Source organism: Homo sapiens, chromosome 16, assembly GCF_000001405.40.
Source record: "Homo sapiens chromosome 16, GRCh38.p14 Primary Assembly".
Classification (NCBI taxonomy): Eukaryota; Metazoa; Chordata; class Mammalia; order Primates; family Hominidae; genus Homo; species Homo sapiens.
The window spans coordinates 83,913,564-83,933,846 of NC_000016.10; the positions used below are offsets into that span (position 1 = coordinate 83,913,564).

The 20,283-nt window shown below is 55.1% G+C and overlaps 1 protein-coding gene and 1 long non-coding RNA gene across 2 annotated transcripts in view, besides 1 other annotated feature; one reads left to right on the forward strand and one right to left on the reverse strand.

Annotated features, from left to right (window-relative positions):
* Nucleotides 1-504: part of an enhancer, noted in NCBI's record as "H3K4me1 hESC enhancer chr16:83947165-83947672 (GRCh37/hg19 assembly coordinates)", that runs on past the window's edge. NCBI's record gives its function as "activates a minimal SCP1, AML or CMV promoter by ChIP-STARR-seq in primed H9 embryonic stem cells {active_cell/tissue: H9 hESC(primed)}" and the evidence as "EXISTENCE:reporter gene assay evidence [ECO:0000049][PMID:30033119]".
* The window catches only part of MLYCD (malonyl-CoA decarboxylase), a 27,917-nt gene extending 14,449 nt beyond the window's left edge, over nucleotides 1-13,468 (forward strand). Inside the window, exon 5 of the mRNA NM_012213.3 lies at nucleotides 1,393-13,468. Coding sequence (NP_036345.2) covers nucleotides 1,393-1,926 — 534 coding nt within the window. The 3' untranslated portion in view covers nucleotides 1,927-13,468. The remainder of the gene's footprint in view (nucleotides 1-1,392) is intronic.
* On the reverse strand, nucleotides 9,897-17,646 carry LOC105371372 (uncharacterized). The gene is made up of 2 exons (XR_007065147.1): nucleotides 17,043-17,646; nucleotides 9,897-16,540 (listed from the first exon to the last, which is right to left on the reverse strand). It is a non-coding gene; the product is annotated as an uncharacterized LOC105371372 (long non-coding RNA).
* Between the last annotated feature and the right edge of the window lie 2,637 nt (nucleotides 17,647-20,283).

Sequence of the window (20,283 nt, forward strand, 5' to 3'; positions counted from 1 at the left end):
TCACGCCTGTAATCCCAGCCGAGGCAGGCAGATCACCTGGGGTCAGGAGTTCGAGACTAGCCTGGCGAACGTGGTGAAACCCCGTCTCTACTAAAAATATAAAAATTAGGCATGGTGGTGCATGCCTGTAGTCCCAGCTACTCGGGAGGCCGAGGCAGGAGAATCACTTGAACCTAGGAGGCGGAGATTGCAGTGAGCCAAGACTGCACCATTGCGCTCCAGCCTGGGAGAGACAGTCTCAAAAAAAAAAAAAAAAAAACAGTGGTTCGGGGTGGGGGAAAAACCCCGGGAGCTACCACGAATGCCCAACGAGAGGAACATGGTGAGGAAAATCATAATAGGCTGCTTTTTTTATATTACTCTGTGGTTAAAATCTTCTGTTTTTGAATTTTAAATGATAATGAGAAAATGCTCACGATATAAATTCATATTGCAAAATATAAAGTAAGTGTCTCACCCATGCAAAAATCGCATCAAGAAACACCAGGAGTTTATCTGAGCAGACTGTCGAGAGTGGTTTTCTCAATGTAGTGGAGTGTGATGGTTTTATTTTCTTCTGTCATTAATTTTTTCAAAAAATATCTATAGTGAGCATGTGTTACATTTATAATCAGAAAGTAGCAGATTGTTTGAAATGATCATGAGATCTCTATCTAGTTGGGACAATAACGATTGAACCGTGTCATGTGATATGGAGAGATACCCGCAGCGTCCCCCTCCTCGCCCTCTACCCCGTTCTGCACCCGCCGTGGTGTGGCCGGGCAGCTAGTCGCTCACTCACCAGTCCCTGGCCACTCGTGTGCCGAGCAGCAGAGCAGCTTCCGGGGCCTCACAGGTGGCCATGGGAGGAGCATGGTGTACGGGAAAGACAAGGCCTGCAGTGAGTAGCTGCAGTGCACCGAGCCCCACTCCCCACTGGCCAGCTGTCTGGTTTTAGGCAAGTCCCCCAACACTCTAGTCTCGGTTTTGCCGACATGAGAAGGGATGGTGGGGACAGAGACGCCCTGCCTTGGGGAGTCAGGATGCCTCCAGGGTCTGGCACACATCAGGTTCCTGATAAATATTTCCTGCTGGGTGTGGCGGCGCGAGCCTGTGGTCCCAGCTACTCAGCAGGCTGAGGCAGGAGGATGGCTTGGACCCAGGAGATGGAGGCTGCAGTGAGCCATGATGACACCACTGCACTCCAGCTAGGGCAATAGAGCAAGACCCTGACTCTAAGAGGAAAAAAAGAAAAGCTGCTTGAAAGAAGATAAACAACATGTATCAGATGTCACTCTGACCGCTACACAGCAGCATGTGAGCCGTAGGTTAAGAGGTGCTCCTCTGTTGGTAACGTACCTGCTGAATTTGTGTTTTCTCCGCCTTCCTTTCCACCCCAACCATGCTTTACAGAGAGAGTTTCCTCACCTTGGGGTGTTTTCAAGTCTGTCACCTATACCTGGTTTCACCAAATGGCTTCTGGGGCTTCTGAACTCGCAAACGAAGGAGCATGGGAGGAATGAACTCTTTACAGATTCGGAATGTAAGGAAATCTCGGAGATCACAGGTGGCCCCATTAACGAGACCCTCAAGCTCCTCCTCAGCAGCAGCGAGTGGGTGCAGTCGGAGAAGCTGGTGCGGGCGCTGCAGACTCCGCTGATGAGGCTGTGCGCCTGGTACCTGTATGGAGAGAAGCACCGCGGCTACGCGCTGAACCCCGTGGCCAACTTCCACCTGCAGAACGGGGCGGTGCTGTGGCGCATCAACTGGATGGCGGATGTGAGCCTCAGAGGCATCACCGGCTCCTGCGGCCTGATGGCCAACTACCGCTACTTCCTGGAGGAGACGGGCCCCAACAGCACCTCCTACCTCGGCTCCAAGATCATCAAAGCCTCTGAGCAGGTCCTCAGCCTAGTGGCCCAGTTTCAAAAGAACAGCAAGCTCTGACAGTAAACCTCTCCTAAAGCACAGGGCCCCGGCTAAGAAAACGATCATTTTCAGGAGGGGCCGGGAGTTATGTATCTGAAGCAGCTTTCCAAGCAAAGCCAAAGTTGACTGTGTTCTTGTCCCGCAGCCGGTCCACACTGTGAGGCCAGGCCTCAACTTCCCTCACCCTGGGCGTGACATGCACCCAGTGCAAGACGGTTGTGGGTGCGGGTGCACACAAATGAGTGGGTTGCTGTGCTGTCTCCGGAAGATTCTGTCGTTGCCCTTGGCCTGGCTCCCTGCCCGGGGCTGGTGCTGTGGTACCTACATCTTCAGGAAGCTGTGCAGCCTCTGCCATTGCCATCCCAGGGGGATCTGGCATCCTCCTAAGGACCGGGGCGCGTGGCCCAGATAAGAATAGGTGTTCCTTTGTGCTCATAAAACAGAATGCGGCGATGGTTGCTTTAGCCGTTTCTCACCATGCAATGCAGAGGGACAAAGGGCTGTGCTACACTTCCCAGTTACATTCTGAAGCTCATAAATGTATGAGAAGGTTTGTGATTTTGCACAAGGTGTGTGTAGTAAGTTAAATTGTTGAACACAAAAATGTTGCTGCTTGAGGCATAAGTTGGATAATAGGCTTTAAATGATCAGGGATTCAGGTTCATAATGAACTTCACAGTAAAGAACACGTTTGTTCTGTAAAGCATTGAACATCTGATTGTGTAGTGGTGGTCGTCTTTAAGATTAGAGACCTGGGAAGGCTGGAATCAGCCAGCCAGCCTACGGGGAGTTTGGGATGAAGGAGCCTGGGGTGTGTTGGATGAGAACAAAGGTGAAGGAAGGGGCAGTCATTGTGCTTGTGGGAGGAAGGCAGTTGTGTTTGTGTGTGTATGTGTGTATCAGTGCACATCTGTGTGCATGTGCACGAGCGTCTCTGTGTGGATCAGTGCACGTCTGTGCGTGTGCACGAGCGTCTGTGGATCAGTGCACGTCTGTGTGCGTGTGCACGAGCGTCTCTGTGTGTATCAGTGCATGTCTGTGTACGTGTGCACGAGCATCTCTGGATCAGTGCACGTCTGTGTGCATGTGCCCGAGCGTCTCTGTGTGGATCAGTGCACGTCTGTGTGCGTGTGCACGAGCGTCTCTGTGTGGATCAGTGCACGTCTGTGTGCGTGTGCACGAGCATCTCTGTGTGTGTCAGTGCACGTCTGTGTGCGTGTGCACGAGCGTCTCTGTGTGTATCAGTGCACGTCTGTGTGCGTGTGCCCGAGCGTCTCTGTGTGGATCAGTGCACGTCTGTGTGCATGTGCACGAGCGTTCTATGTGGATCAGTGCACGCCTGTGTGCGTGTGCACGAGCGTCTCTGTGTGTCAGTGCACGTCTGTGTGCGTGTGCCCGAGCGTCTCTGTGTGGATCAGTGCACGTCTGTGTGCGTGTGCACGAGCGTCTCTGTGTGGATCAGTGCACGTCTGTGTGCGTGTGCACGAGCGTTCTATGTGGATCAGTGCACGCCTGTGTGCGTGTGCACGAGCGTCTCTGTGTGTCAGTGCACGTCTGTGTGCGTGTGCACAAGCGTCTCTGTGTGGATCAGTGCACGTCTGTGTGCGTGTGCACGAGCGTCTCTGTGGATCAGTGCACGTCTGTGTGCGTGTGCACGAGCGTTCTATGTGGATCAGTGCACGCCTGTGTGCGTGTGCACGAGCGTCTCTGTGTGTGTCAGTGCACGTCTGTGTGTGCACGAGCGTCTCTGTGTGGATCAGTGCACGTCTGTGTGCGTGTGCCCGAGCGTCTCTGTGTGGATCAGTGCACGTCTGTGTGCGTGTGCACAAGCATCTGTGTGTGTCAGTGCACGTCTGTGTGCGTGTGCACGAGCGTCTCTGGATCAGTGCACGTCTGTGCATGTGCACACGTGCATGTGCATGTGCTTACACGTCTTTGTGTGTCTGTGTGCGTGTGTCCGCAGTTGCCCTGTCCTCGCTGTCCTCGGTTTGGCAGACAGGTCCCTCACCTTCCTTGCCTTTCATCTCCTGTGACCCTCGCCAGGCCCCTTCTCTGTCTTCTGCGTACGGCGTGTTGCTTCGTGACAGACGGTGTGATCGCGGGAGCTGTCTCATGCCTCTTGTTCTCCGGGCTGATTCTGAAAGAGTGGCTTGCAGGCCAATCAATGCAATCCTGGCAACCTGCCCGCCCTTCTTGCGGGCAGAGTTCTTTACCGTAAGCGTCCCCAGACCCTCAGGCCTGCGGAAACCTGCTGGGCCTTACCGTCTTTGCTTAGCTTTTGGCCTAGACCTTAAAGACCAGCAGTCTTCTGTGCTTTATCCTGCTGCCTCCAGAGTGCCATGGACAGATCACCCATTCTCGATCACTCCGGCAGCCTTTCGGATCCGGTGGCGCCCTTCCTGGCTGTGTCCTTCACCTGTGCTGTCTGGTTCTCTCCTGTGTGGACAGGGGATGATAGGAATTCCCGCTGCACAGGCCGCTGGGAGGACGGGCTCAGGTGACATCTGCCGAGGCTTTGGCTCACCAGAGGAGTTTGTAGATGTCAGTCATCCCCAAGTCACTAGGAACTAGCACGCCTGAGGTAGGTCTCGGAATAGTGTTCAAATCCATTTTACTATTGCGGCCAAGGAGCCCTCCCTCCAGCAAGGCGGCTCATCACATCACGTTACTCTTTAGGTCAAATGTAACCCTCCCGGTTTTATTTATCACTCAGGCAGAGTTTCTTAACCTTTTGTGAGTTACAGATCACTGAAATTCTGGTGAAAGCCAGGTAGGCCTCGCCGCAGGAGAACACATACATGGTGCACAGAACACACACAGTGCACAGAACACAGTGCACAGGAGAACACTCACAGTGCACAGGAGAACACGCACACGGTGCACAGGAGAACACGCACACATGTTGCACAGGAGAATTCACACACAGTGCACAGGAGAACACACAGTGCACAGGAGAACACATGGTGCACAGGAGAACACGCACACACGGTGCACAGGAGAACACACACAGTGCACAGGAGAACACGCACAGTGCACAGGAGAACACAGAGTGCACAGGAGAACACATGGTGCACAGGAGAACACGCACACACGGTGCACAGAACACACACAGTGCACAGGAGAACACGCACAGTGCACAGGAGAACACGGTGCACCGGAGAACATGCACACATGGTGCACAGGAGAACACAGTGCACAGGAGAATACAGACTGCACAGAACACACGCACAGTGCACAGGAGAAAACGCACACACAGTGCACAGAACACAGTGCACAGGAGAACACGCACACAGTGCACAGAGAACCACACAGTGCACAGGAGAATACGCACACACAGTGCACAGAACACAGACACAGTACACAGGAGAACACGCACACACAGTGCACAGAACACAGCCAGTGCACAGGAGAACACTGCACAGGAGAACCACACTGCACAGGAGAATATGCATAAACAGTTCACAGGAGAACACGCACACACAGTGCATAGAGCACAGACACAGTGCACAGGAGAACCACACAATGTACAGGAGAATACGCACACACAGTGCACAGGAGAACATACACGCAGTACACAGACACAGTGCACCGGAGAACACAGTGCACAGGAGAACACGCACACACAGTGCACAGAACACAGACACAGTGCACAGGAGAACACACAGTGCACAGGAGAACACAGTGCACAGGAGAATACACACGGTGCACAGGAGAATTCACACACAATGCACAGGAGAACACAGTGCACAGGAGAACACACACACACACTGCACAGGAGACCATGCACAGTGCACAGGAGAATACACATGGTGCACAGCAGAATTCACACAGTGCACAGGAGAACACACACAGTGCACAGAATTCATGCACACAGTGCACAGGAGAACACACACAGTGCACAGGAGAACACAGTGCACAGGAGAACACACACTGCACAGAACAAATGCACAGCACACAGGAGAACATGCACACACAGTGCACAGGAGAACACAGTGCACAGGAGAACACACAGTGCACAGGAGAGAACACACAGTGCACAGAACACACAGGGCACAGGAGAACACACAGTGCACAGGAGAACACTGCACAGAACACACGGTGATCAGAACACACAGTGCACAGGAGAACACACAGTGCACAGAACACACGGGGCACAGGAGAACACACGATGCACGGAACACGGTGATCAGAACACGGTTCACAGGAGAACACACAGTGCACAGAACACACGGGGCACAGGAGAACACACAGTGCACAGAACACACAGTGCACAGAACACACGGTGCACAGGAGAACACATGGTGCACAGGAGAACACACGGTGTACAGAACACACGGTGCACAGGAGAACACGCAGTGCACAGGAGAACATGCAATGCACGGGAGAACACAGTGCAGAGAACACACACGCACTGCACAGAACATGCAGTGGTGCACAGGAGAACAGTACACAACAACACATTCCATGCACAGGAGAACACACGCAATTCACAGGACACAACAGAACACACGCAGTGCACAGGACACAACAGAACACACGTGCACAGGAGAACACAGTACACACACAGCGCACTGGAGAACACGCACAGTGCACAGGAGAACAGAGTGCACAGAACACAGTCCACAGGACAGCACACGGTACACAGCAGAACACCCGCAGTGCACAGGAGAACCTAGTGCACAGAACACACACCCTGTGCACAGTTTTGTTTTGTTTTGCTTTTGCAATTCCAGGGAGCTCCCTGGCCTCCCACAGCCATTCATAGAGCCCATTCTGTTTGCGATAAAAACAGATCTCCTCCAGCTCACGTGAGGCTAGGCACGGGTTCCTCAAAACCTTTTTGGGCAGCTAGCAGCTTTGACTAGCAGCTCATCTCACCAGGCTGAGGTCGCTGCCTGTGAACAGTTGACAGACCTAAAGCCAGCCAGAATGTTCTGTGTCAGAGAGCCCTGTCCAATGGGCAGAGCTGGGAGACACGCAGGAAGACCCCCAGCCCATGCCCGTTCTCAGGCCTGAGGTTCATTCTCGTTCTCTCCCTCTTCCCTTTCCCCTTCCTCCCTCCTGCCCTCGAATCTGCAAGGTCTCTCCGGGTGGCTGTGTTCTGCCAGGGCCTCCCAGGCTCCAAGATCACTGCCTTCAGGGAGCCCAGGAAGAGCTGCACATCCGCTGCCTCTGTGTGGCAGGCGTGTCCGAGACTGCAACTCCTAGTTCCCACCTTTCACACCTCATCTCTCTAACCTCTTATGGAAAATTTCAAACATATGTAAAAGCAGGGAGAAATTGCATAACGAACCTACAGACCTATCACCCAGCTTCCACAGTCATCAGTGGTTTTCTGTTTTTATCAAACTTTATCTTTGTACTTCTTACAGTGCTTCACATTTAGCAGGTCCTCAATGAACATTAGATGGATGGATGGAAGGAAGGAAGATGGATGGATGGATGGATGGATGGATGGATGGATGGATGGATGACAGATGGATGGTGGAGGGTTAATGGAAGGAAGGAAGATGGATGGGTGGAAGGAAGATGGGTGGATGGATGGTGGAGGGTGGATAGAAGGAAGATGGGTATATGAATAGATGGCTGGGTGGGTGGAAGGAAGGAAGATGGTTGGATGGATGGAAGATGGATGGATGGATGGATGGAGGGTAGAGTTTTAATGGAAGGAAGATGGATGGACGAATAGATGGAAGGAAGATGGGTGGATGGAAGGAAGATGGATGGATGGAATGATGGATGGGTGGTAGAGGGTGGATGGAAGGAAGATGGATGAATAGATGGGTGGGTGGGTGGATGTTTGGATGGATGGTGGAGGGCAGAGTGTTAATGGAAGGAAGATGAATGGATAGATGGAGGGTAGAGTGTAGATGGAAGGAAAGGAAAGGAGGATGGATGGATGGATGGATGGATAGATGGATGGAGGAGGGTGGATGGAAGGAAGGAGGATGGATGGATGGATGGGTGGGTGGGTGGGTGGATGGATGGCGCAGGGTATATGGAAGGAAGATGGATGAATGATGGAAGATGGATGGATGGGGGACAGATGAATTGATGGCGGAGGATGTTAGGATGGGTGGATGGATGTATTAACATCCCTTCTCCATGCCTCAGTCCCCATCATAAGGAGAAAGAGCCTGTCGTCCCTCTATGATACTGCACTGAACCAATATTCCCCTCACTTCATGGGTGTTACAAACCTCTTATCATCTGTTTACGTCTCACTCTTACTGTAGAACCTCTAGAAAGGCAGGTGGCTTCCAGCTCCTCGCTTTTCCTGAGGGATGATCTGACCACCCATTCTTACACATGTCATCTTTCCCACAGTGGCAGTGCAGAGGAGACAAAAGCAGAACAAAAGCAGACAGCGGCCAGGTCTGAGGGTGATAGGCTACTCACTGGGTCCTAGTGTTCTGAACTACACCCTACAGGAAAGTGCTACTCAGTGCCCAGGTGACATCGTCACAAGGGGAACACAGTGGCTAAGAGGGCAGGGGCTCAGTCTCACAGACCTGGTTTCCATCCCACTTGCTCTCAGGAACCCTGGGCAACAACTGTGACCACAGTGTCTTCCTCTGGAAAGTGCCCAGCAGTGTTGGGCTCACCGTAGCTGCACAATAAATTGTCATGAGTGCTTTCCACTGTGTCCCAGGTTCAAGGCTGAAGTCACAACCCCACCCCTGCCACAGAGCCTGCCCCCCCGAGTGTTCCCCATCTCAGTCTGAGGCCCGACCTGTGCTTCCGGAGCCCGCGTCCCGTCCCATCTCAGGAGCTACTCTGCTCCATTCCCCCCGTATCCGAGACCTAAGTTCCGGCTCTCCTTATCTCTTGGAGCCCTGTCATCTGTGGATCAGATGCTCCCCAGCTCCCTCCATCCCACCCACAGGGTTTCACAAGAGGCCCAGCCATGCACCCTGCTGGGGTTCAGACTTGAGGGGTGCCACTGGAGTTGGGGTGCACCTGCTCTCACCTGTTCATGGGCTCCTTTTTCTTCTGAAATGCAGCGTGAGGCACCATGGAGGGAGCTGTAGACTTTGGCTCCGGCCAGTGCCCAGTTCAAATGCTGGCCCCACCACTTCCAGCTGGGTGGCCCAGGGCAAGCCACCTACCCTTGCTTTGCCTCAGTTTCCTCATCTTTAAGTGGCAGTAACCATAGTACCGACCCCACAGCCTGCTGAGAGGCTCAAAGGAGACGATGTATATAAAGCAGTTAACTGATGCCTGCCCTGGGAAGCAGAGCAGTCCCTGTCATGATGGGCGTTTCTACATCTGGACCTGGGCGCCACCATCCTGCTCACCTGAATGCGGGTTCTGGGATCTTTCAGTCCTTATTTGGATATTTGAATATTTGTTGGTTTTCTGGCTTCTCACAATTTCTAAGAGGTGACTAAGTGGATCATTCGTTCCCGGGAGAGGTGGGAATGGCTCCTGTGGACACGGCATTGCACAGGGGCTTGAGGGGACCTCCTGACCCCTGATGGCTGAGCACCCTTGTCATACTCCTCAGGGAGAGCCCAGGCCACCGGCTAGCTCCAGACTGGCTCTGCAGGGCCTCAGAATCTGAACTCCCTGTGGTCACTCTGAGGCCTCTCTGTCTCTCTGTGTCTTTCTCTTTCTACCCTCTCCATCCCTCCTTCCCTCTGAGGGCTTGACCTTCACTGACCTCCAGGGCAAGAACAACCAAGAGTTGCTCCCAAGAGGGCTTCCCTCCTCCTCGTTCTGTGTGGCCTCAGAAGTGAGGGAATCTCAGTGCTCTGTGCAGGCATGTGCTTATTCTGAGCTCTGTTTGAAATTAAACATGAGGTGTACTAAAGATTTAAATCGAGCAAACACCTCTGTGATTTCCAATTGGATTCTGAGGCGCTTACAGAAATATGAAGTCCATTTTGATCTACTCTTAGAAACAAAAGCTGCCCATGATTTCACCACAGAAAGTCTGCCTCATTTGCAGTTTAGCGGACTCACAGAGGTGACCCTAGATCTCTGTCTCGCCTTTGTTTGGTTTATTTCCACATTGCATTTGCGTTTCCCGCCTGGCTAGTTCTTGATCATTGAGGAAGGCAGAGAGAAACGAGATTCTCTGCTCTGGGCCAGGCATTCTCTGTACACGTTCCTGGTTCCAGCCTGCCTCCTTCCCTAGAGGATCACCGTGTCCAGCCCTGAAGCTGGAGCGAGTGTTCCTCACTTAGAGATGAGGCGATGAGGCGGCGAGCTGGGAGAGGGCTGAGCAGCTGGTGAGGGCAGAGTTGGGACTCAAACCCAGGCCCGACCACCACCCAGCTCTCCTTCCACCGCACTGGTCCACCTCCTGACCGTACGTGGGGAGACCCACGCAAAGGCCCAGAGAGGAGAAGGCCAGCAGTGGGCAGAACAGAGTGGGCCGCAGGTTTTGGCAAGCCTGGAGGGGAATAGGTCAGAAAGGTAGCCCGGCTGGGCTGAGAGACTGAGGACAGGGGGTGTTAGGGTGCTGACATTCTGGCAAGGGGGCGGGGGTCTGTGGAAGACAACCCCAGGCTGGGGTGGCTTCTCTCAAACCCGGGCATGCACAGTGCTGGCCGTATCGGTCCGAGCCCTCGGCTGCCAGGGAGAGAAGCTGAGCTCCCACCAAAGCATAAAATCCAGGCCAGCGAGGGGCAGCCAGACCACGGGAAGACAGGAGGAACCCGGACCTGGCTCTCGTGCAGGAAGCAGGCAGTGCACAGCTCCGCCGCCACAGAGACAGCCTCCTCTCATGACCCCAGACTCAGCCCGGGCCGTGGTGGGAACGATGGTTGGCCCGGTTTGGAGATGGGGGATCTGGCCCTGTGGTGAGTGCACCCAGAGCAGGTGTCTCTCCGGAGCAGTTGAGTAGAACAGCTGGCGTCACCTCTTCATGTTGACGAGGGGAGATGAGTGGCCCAGGCAGTTCCTAGAGCGGGGGAGATGGAGTGGGCCGTATCCCACCCAGCAGGAGCGCTTGCTTCTGAAGCTCCCGTGCGTCTGTGACAGAGGCTTGAACCCCCGGCTTGTTCTCTCACGTCTGTTGCCGTAAATCTGTCTCCATCGCCTGGCACATAGGAGAGGCTTGGCAAATATTTTTGGTTCACTGAAGAAAGGCAGCCCTCACTCCTGCTGCTCAGACAGCACCCCCTGAACGTGAGTTACTGCCTCCTTGAGCACTTTCGCAGGAGAGAAGACCAGAGAGCTGCCTTCAAAGATGCCAGAGCCATGTTTATTTAAGCGGCGCTGCTCCAGAGAGAACTGGCCATTTGCAGTCTCCACCCCAGTGTGGCTCACGATGCCACCTCTCCTTGCCAGCTCTCACCGAGGCCCCCGGTGACCTCCTAGGGGGTACATCCAGCCAGGTTCCCCCTCAGCAATGGCCAGGGGCCACCGTGGGCCACACTGCACTTCCCAAATGCTCCCGGCACTGGCACAGATGCACACCCTCTTGGCCATCCCCACCTGTGCTCCGCCACTCTTAGTCAGCCATTCCTCTCGGCTTCCGGGAGTCCCCTCCTTCTCTAAGGATCTCACCCCCATCCGTGTCTCTGCTGTCTCCTAACTACCGATAGCAAGGGCACTAGTGCCCCTGTTTGCCGGGGACAGGCCCTGTCTGGGGCCCTGGTGTGGCATCATTGTTAACAGAGCTTCTTTTCACTCTGAAGTGTTCAGTTAGGACAGTCACTTGCACAGTCCCCTCACTGGTGACACAGACACCCCATACCTGTGTGTTTCCCCTGCATAGCTCAGCAGCAGCTCAGGCTCAGCACGGCCAAGGCTGAATGCAGATGCCCTCCCTCCAAAACCTGGCCTCCTCCAGCTGTTCCTTCCTGGCGAGGCCACCTCCAACTGTGTAACACAGAAGCCTGGGTGCCATCCCTGGGGCTCCCCTCACCCCCACCTCCCACCCGTCCCCGGGCCCCTGGACAGACCACTGGCCTTGTTCTCTTCATTTCCCTGGCCCAGGTTACAAAGTCTCCTTCCTGATTATGTGCATTAACTAACCTCGCAGGTGCTCTGCCCACCTGCCTACGCCAGACTCTTCCAGATCCTTCTCCACCCCAGCAGGCAGAGTTGTCATTGTGAAATGCAAATCAGGTTCCATCTCTCCTCTCCTTTCCTACCTCCCACCATCCCCGTCACCCTCCCTGTCACACACAGCCCCCTCCGTGGCCTCTCAAGCCTGCTGTGGCCTGACCCTCCCCTCTGCTTTTCCAGGCCCTCCTGGCACTGTCCTCCCTCAGTCTGGGACTCCCTGTCCTCCCTCCTTCCTGCGTGGCACATGCTCCTCCCTCTTCTTGAAACGCTCTCCCCTCCCTGCCTCCCAGGCAATGCCCACTCTGCCTCCAAAGTTCATCCATCGTCCTCTCCTCAGGAAGATTTCCCTGGTGGCTTGACTAGGTCACAGTCCCCCTTTATTTGCCGTCTTCTCACTGGGGCCTCTCCTTCCTGGTAGCTTCTAAACAAGGCAGTTTCATGTGTGTATCTCCACTAGACTAGACGCTCTCTGAGGGCAGGGACCCTGCTTCGCTTCTGGCCCGAGGTGGCTGCAGGGTCTGCAAGATCATCAGGGCCCCCTCCAATGTGACACTTGCAGAGGGGACCCCTGGCCTGGGGCCACGCTGGTTACTTGGGTACACTCCTTGCCCAGGGTTCCACAGCCCCTTAAAGGCAGGGTCTTTCTGGCCACGCCTGGCCCTGGTCTGGCCTCCCCAAGGAGCCCTGCCGCTGGGGGTGCTGTGTGGGAACAGAGCACAGGCCCTCCCTCCCAGAGCCCACGAGATCTCACTTTCTCCAAGCCCAGCTCCCCAAGGACTCAGACCCCAGTTGCCCTGCACTGAACGCTGGCTTGCCCTAGCTCACTCGGACCCCACCCTGCACTGGGAAGGAGGGTCCCTGTCCCCGTTTGACGGGTGACGACACTGAGGCCCAGAGAGCTGAAGGGGCTGGCCGAGGGGACGGGCTTGGGCGCTTCCATTCTCACACTGCTGCCGTGACACCTAATCCATCCGGGGAAGTTCCCTTTAAACCCAAAAGGGGACGGTGAAGCCACACGCGGCCGCCCTTCTCAGGAGCCCACTTCCACCTCTCGCAGGCTAGACAGCGTTCCCCAAGTCCCCCCTTGAGCTGGGTGGGCTGCCCAGCTGTGAACACAAGGACACCTCCGATTTCGTCCTGTGAATGTTGATATTAGTGGTCCCTTCCTTCAGGGGCTGTGGGGATCTCAAAAGATAAGGCAGGTCTGGAGTCCTGCGCGGTACCTGCCGCATGGCAGGCTCTTTACGGACAGCGCAGGGACGCACTTTGATGCTGAAAATGAGTCTCTGGGACAGATGGATCCCAGTCTGGGTCCTCGCAAGCGCTGTGCACCCCGTCGCCGCGAGATGGCGGTGTTGCGCCCCTCCAGCCTCCTCTGCTCTGCGCTTGGGCGCTGAATGTTAAAATTCCTAACAGGTGAATCGCTTGAATCCGGGAGGCGGAGGTTGCAGTTGGCCGAGATGGCGCCACTCACTCCAGCCTGGCGACAGAGCGAGACTACGTCTCAAAAAAAAATAAAAATAAAAAAATAAAATCCTAACAGGTAGCATACCTGCACTCGGAACTTGCACAGCCGCTCCCCACTCTCTCACAGGGATTAGGTAACGATACTCAGAGCTAGAGCAGGCATTTGGGACTGCCCAAACCAGCTGCTCTTCCTGCTTTCTGAAGCTTCCCCGGGGGAATCTTCTGGCTCCCAGTCCGAGCCTCCTGTGGTCAGCTCCTCCTTGCCCAGTCGTCGTTTGCAGTACAGCAGGGGCGTGGTCATTTGCAAATGTCCCAGAGGGCCCCCTCCAGTCGCTTCACATCGGTCTCAAGTCGGGCTGACTGAGGGCATGACTTTCTGTCTCAGGCATGGAGCCCAGATCACAGATCGAAACTCCGCTAAATCTAGAGGCCACGGGTCCCAAACACCAGTCATTTGCTGAGCACTGTCGCAATTTTTTTATATCCCTCCCATCAATACAAGCTGGATTTTTTTATTAAGTAGAAGCTAAAAGTAAAAAGTAATATAAAAACAAAACAGCATTAAACTTCAGTTAGATACATTTGCTTTCTCTCTTCAAAAAAATCGGGGTTGGCGGGGGAGGATTAATAAATGTTAAGGTTTTTTAAACGTATATTACCAAACAGACTTTCTCTTTGAGGACTCAGAAAGTCCTCAAAAGACTCATAAAGGAGCAAGAATTGGAAAAGGATTAAATGAGATTATTGCTTCGTCCAGGAGCCACCAGATTATCACACATCTCACACCCTGGGCAATCCTTTGAAGAATTTTGCCTCTAGACATGCAAAGTGCACTTTGCCCTGGGTTTATCTAAGTCCTGCGCTGTCGCCCAGGCTGGAGTGCAATGGGGCCATCTTGGCTCACTTCAACCTCTGCCTCCCAGGTTCAAGCAATTCTCCTGCCTCCGCCTCCTGAGTAGCTGGGACTACAAGCACACACCACCATGCCTGGCTAATTTTTTGTGTGTTTGTAATAGAGCCAGGGTTTCATCATGTTGGCCAGGCTGGTCTCGAACTCCTGACCTCAAGTGATCCACCCGCCTTGGCCTCCCAAAATGCTGGGATTACAGGTGTGAGCCACCACGCCCGACTCTTAGAGATGTGTTCTGGAAACCCCAGTGATAAGCACTGGGACCAGAAGGAGAAGCTACATGCAGGTAGAAGCCAGACCTTGGCGTCCTGGGAGGAGGAACTTCCCTATGTGACCAGGAGTTGGGGCACCCCAGCAGAACCTGGCCTCTGCTTGGCACAGTGGCATTGGGGACCAGCCAAATCCTGCAGGCCTTCCAGAGCTCCAAAATACTTATTAAGCTTTCACTTAAAATCTCATTTGTAACTGCACTGGAAGTGGCCAATTCACAAGTGTGATGCATCAGAGATTAGCACGTTGGAACCACCAACATGTCACCTTGTGGTGTGAGGTCATCTCGACTTCGTAAGCCCTCAGCATACCCAGGCTTCTCCCAAAATCTGTGAGTTGCAGCAGCCACAGAGAGAACAGTCTGAAACTCTTATAATTTGCAGCTTTTTATCTGTATGAATCAGAGCTCCTGCCCATTCCTGTGCAAGCACAGACACAGGCTGGCTTAGAAACCAGCAGTGGACATAAACCTCTGCTGCCCAAGTGTTGCAATCCTCAAAGCAGCCTTGTGGTTGAAAGTGGAGATTTTTACCCACGACCTCAGGATCATGAAGGCAGCACCTATGGTAAAGCAGTCGATTGCCAAACCTCTTCTGAAAGGAATGTGGGGCTTTCACAACAATAATCGGCACTGGCCTTAGACCCAGGCAGGAGGGCACCTGCCACAGACCCCACGCTTGAGAGGCCCTTACGTGTCGCAGACCCACACGCAGGACTCCTATGTCCCTGGGATACAGCACTCAGTGTTGGCCCGGACTTAGCGTCCACTCTCGCACAACCACCCCCCAAGCCTCGAAGAAACACTGTCTGCGTCTCCCGCTTGACAACTTGGAAACAAAAGGCCACTTCATCTAAATGCTGTAAAGGCAGGTAGGTTGTGCATCACCAACAGAGACAGACATTGCACTGGAGTAGAGGCAGGGTCTGAGAGGTGGAAGAGCTGAGGTGAGACAAGAGGTGCAGTCATTGAATTGTCTGGTCCTTCCTCTCTGATAGCAGGAGTCCAAGAGCCTCTTGCCTGACAAAGTCCAGCTTGCCATGGTGCAGGTGTAATTTATGAATCTCACTCGACTGCATTCAGTTACTCATCCAGACGGTGCCAGCCCATCCATACGATGCACAGTCATCTCTGACATCTTGCTGACCCTTAGGCACATAAAAACATAGCTGTACCCAGTTTTTTTCCAACTGTATTGTTAGACAGGACAGAGGCTAGAAAATATTTTATTAGGACCCAGAGATGGGTCCTGAGCCTGGCATCGTCACTTATGAGCTGTGTGGCCATTACTAAATTTACAATAAGTAAATGTGTCCATTTTGGCTGGGCGTGGTGGCTCATGCCTTAATCCCAGCACTTTGGGAGGCCAAAGCAGGAGGATCACTTGAGCCCAGGAGCTGGAGACCAGCCTGGGCAACATAACGAGACCCCCATCTCTACGAAAAATAAAAATAATATTAGCTAGATGTGGCAGTGAGCACCTGTAGTCCCAGCTACTTGGGAGGCTGAAGTGGGAGGATTGCTTGGGTCCAGGTGGTCGAGTCGACAGTGAGCTATGATCGTGCCACTGCACTCCAGCCTGGGTGACAGAATGAGACCCTGTCTCAAAAAAATAAGTAAATGTATTCATTTTAATGTATAAAAACAATGTAAACCAGTAAAATTAATTTTTTATGTAAAATTTTTCATCTTGGCCTTCAAATGAGGTGTTTGTTGTTAAAACGCTTCTGTGGTCATTTGGTAAACAGAGTTTGAAACTTGAGCAAGACGATTAGCAGGCTCTGCCGAACTGCGCTGCTGACGCTGCAGGCTGAGCTGCCTCCTCCCTGGCCCTCATGTTCATTCTCAGGTCGGCTGTCAGTGGCTGCTTGCAGTGGTGACAATGCTGCTGGGTGCTGCTGGCTGCAGGCACCTCTTGGAATGAGCTGTGATTTTTGTGTCTCCTTTTGCAGCTCCGACTGGAAAGCCTGCATCAACACAGAAGGACACTTGCTCCTTCTGATCTGCAAAGGCCCAGGTGCCCACAGGCCTGGCCCCGGGGCTGTTCCCACAGCTGGCATGGACGACCCTCTGAACATTTCTGATGTCATCTGCCTTATCTTCCTAGGGTCTGTGCTGTCCTTAAGCAGCAGCGCTATTCACCCTGGGATCTGGGGCAAAGTGCCGGTGTCCACATGAGGAGGGGTAGGAGGTGTCCCTGGGGGTGGGGAAGCAGTGCTGGGTGGACATCGCTGCCCAGAGGAAGCGGTGGACAGACGGGTGTGCATTTCTCCTCCCTCGCAGCGGCTGCCCATGCAAGGGCAGCTCTTAGGAGAATAACCACGGGCAGACAATGAATTATGGGCAGAAATATGGTGGTGAGGGGGTCTCACCCCTCAAGGAGGGTCCCACCCAGAGCTCCCCACAAGGCCAGCAGCCTCCTGAGCCTCATTCTCCTGGTGGAAGGCTCCGAGCTGACCAAGCCCTGACCTGATTCTGAATGTGTCGAGCGGTGGAGGAGTGTCAGTCCAGCAGGGGAGTTCCACGGAGAATTTCCTCCCTTACGGGAAATGGGATGGAGGCAGGACAAGTAGAAACCTCTGTCCCCACAGCCAGCAGGGCCGCCTGGGAGGAGGCACAGGGAGGGTACCGAGGTTGGTAGAAACCTCCATCCCCAGGGCTCCCACATCCTCACAGCCAGCAGGGCCACCTGGGAGGAGGCACAGGGAGGGCACCGAGGTTGGTAGAAACCTCCATCCCCAGGGCTCCCACATCCTCACAGCCAGCAGGGCTGCCTGGGAGGAGGCACCGGGTGGGCACCGAGGTTGGTCTGGGTTTGAGCCCTGCGCCAGCACCTGCTTGCGTGTGACCGTGGGAAAGGCACATCCTTCAGCAGTTGTTTACTGAGCACCTACCGTGTGCAGGGCCCTGTGTACCCATCATCACAGCAACCCAACCTGCCCCTTGGGCACACCTTGGCAAGATGTGCCCCTTTTCCAGGTGCTATCACCGAGGCTGCAGTTGCTCCGGAGGAGCTGCAGCAGAGGACGGGAGCGGGGCCGGCTGGGCCCTCAGGCAGAGCCACCCTGAGGCTGCCCACCACTGACCGGGCACCCCAGCAAGCCCAGGGCAGGACTTTGTGATGCGACAAACGGCCCAGCCTGGCCTCTTGTCCCCCAGCTCCCCTGTTACCACGTCGGGGGGGTGTCCCCTGGGGGAGGGCCAACCCCAGTGTGTCCACTCCTCCCCGGCCAAACTGGTCACCTCTGTCACCTCTGCTGCACCCGGCCCCTTCGTTGTCAGGTAAGGAGGGCCTGGAGCAGGGAGGGGCAGGGGCTGCTCCAGGAAGGGGTGAGGTGTGCTGGGGGGCCTGGTAGGGCCAGGCAGGAGGAGGGGCTCCTGGGCGGTGGCCCTGGAGGCAGGAGGCTCAGCTTGTGGACTCTGGGGTGCAGGTGGCCTGGGTGGGAACCTGGTGCTGTTGCTTGCCCGTCGTGTGATCTTGGGACAGTGCCATAACCTGTGAGCTGCCATCTCCCTGGCAGTAAAATGGCTCCTCGGGTCTCTTCCTCGCAGGGGTCCTGGGAGGTGAAGTGAGCCCCTCCACGGGAGGCCCTGGCACTCGCCCCACGTGCAGACCGCGCTCGATACACATCGCCCATAGTCATCAGGCCCCGGAACCGACCGCCACTCATGCCTATCTCAGCCAGGCTTGGGCGCTGTCCTCTGGTCACCAGCCCCTCGTTGATTCCCCACCCACTGCCATGCTGGGGCCTGGCCCCTTCATCCTGGTGGATGGGGGAGAGCGGACAGCAGGAGCAGGTCTCCCCAGCATGCCTCTTTGCGTCTACATCCTGTCATTCTCAGCTGGCTGTGGGTGGCACTCACCTGGGGGAGGCTTGGGTCCCCGGCAGAGGCCTAGCATTAGGTTTTCTGACCCTGAGTCTCATCTGTGAACGAGCTTGCCCAGGGGACTCTGTGTGCCCCACAGTGTGTGACTCAGAGAATAAACTACAGGCCCTCCAAGGACGCCCATGGCCACCCCCAGCCTGTCCCACCACAGAACGGCAGATGCTGCAGCCTCACCGGGCTTTTGGTTCCCGTGTTCAAGACCATCCCCTTCTCTGTCCAGCGAGCTCCATTCAGGGCTGAGCAAGAATGGCCTCCAGGATCCCACAAGGAAAGGCGGGGCTGCGGTTTGAACCCAGATCTCTCCAGACTGTTCCACTACAACCCATGGCTGCCCATGAGAACCACCTGGAAAGCTTTGGACAACACCGAAACCCAGTTCCCAACCCCAGACCGCAAGTAGAGTCCCTGGTCAGGGGCCCCACCCAGCCCTGTGATCCCAGCTCCACCAGCAGAGGCAGCAGATCGGGGGTCCAGGGCCTCAGTGCACTCCCATCCCCGTCGGGGTGCTCCGGCCCTGCTCCTCCACCCCTCAGCCCTGGCTCCCAGCACTCCAGACTCACACTTGGTTTTGGAGTCTTTGCCCAGGAGTAACCCCCAAACGTGTCCTGGTCCTTCCTACGGTGGCAGGCACTGGGGAACCCTCAGCTCTGAGTGTGGGAACACGTGCTGGGACTTATCGGCGTGGTAGGTCCAGCCAGGTTTGAAGTTGGACAGGCCCACTCCCTGGAGAGACACCTGGTCCCATGCACACACAAAGGCCACGGAGCCTGTTAGGTGGAGGCTCCTGGGGCCTCAGCTGCTCCGACCTCACCTCAGGAGGCTCAGCCGCTCTGACCCCACCCCCGCCACTTCCTGGCAGGATGACCTTGGGAAGGCTGTTTTGCCTCAGTTTCCTCATCTGTAAAATGCCTAGAACGGCAGCTCCCTCATGAGGAGGCTGAGACACCCCACGGTGTAACACAGGAAAGATGCTGAGCTCTGCCGGTGTGGTGGGGAGCGATGAGTGCTCCAGAAACGGTCCCCACGCTCCACTGTGTGCCGGAGCCTCTGCACTTGGGCCACCGTTTCCTGCGCCTTCTGTAGGAGCAGCATGGCCTTGGCGCACGCTCGCCCTGCGTGAGCATGGTGTCACTCTCCTCCCGTGCCGTCTCTTTCCCATTTTAAACATCTCCAAGGTTGACAGCAAAGGCTTCTGGGGCTCCAGGGTCACAGCCAAGGGCAGATGAGATCAAGTACAGCCACACTGCCACCCTTGTTCCCTTCATTTTGTGAGACTTCGCCTCCGGCAAACACGAGGCCCAGAATGTTCCACCAGGGTAGCAGCAGGTGCCCAGCTTGGGGAGGGAAGAGGCGCCGAGCGACCCCCCCAGCCCCTGCCCTGCGCATGCCCCTTGTCTCCTCGATGCGCCTCCCCCACCTCTACAGGGCCGGCAGCTGTGCTGGAGCCCAGACCTGAAACTGGAAGGAAAGATGATCCTCCACAGACTTCTCATCAATCCTTTTGCCGGGGTTTAATCCCCCTGCAATTCCTCCTGAATGAGTTTCCTGTACCTGACATCACCAGTGACCACAAACTAAGTGGCTTAAAGCAACAGAAATGTACCCTCTCATCATCTGGAGCAGAAGTCAAAATTCAAGGCATCAGCAGGACCCCCGCCCTCTGGAGCTTCCAGGGAAGGATCTTCGTTGACTCCTCCGGCTTCAGGGGGCTCCAGGCGTCCCTTGGTTCTAACCGCTGCCTCTGTGGTCTTGTGGCCGCCTTCCCTGGGTCCTCAGATCCCCCCCTTGCATATAAGGACACTTGTCGTGGGATATGGGGCCC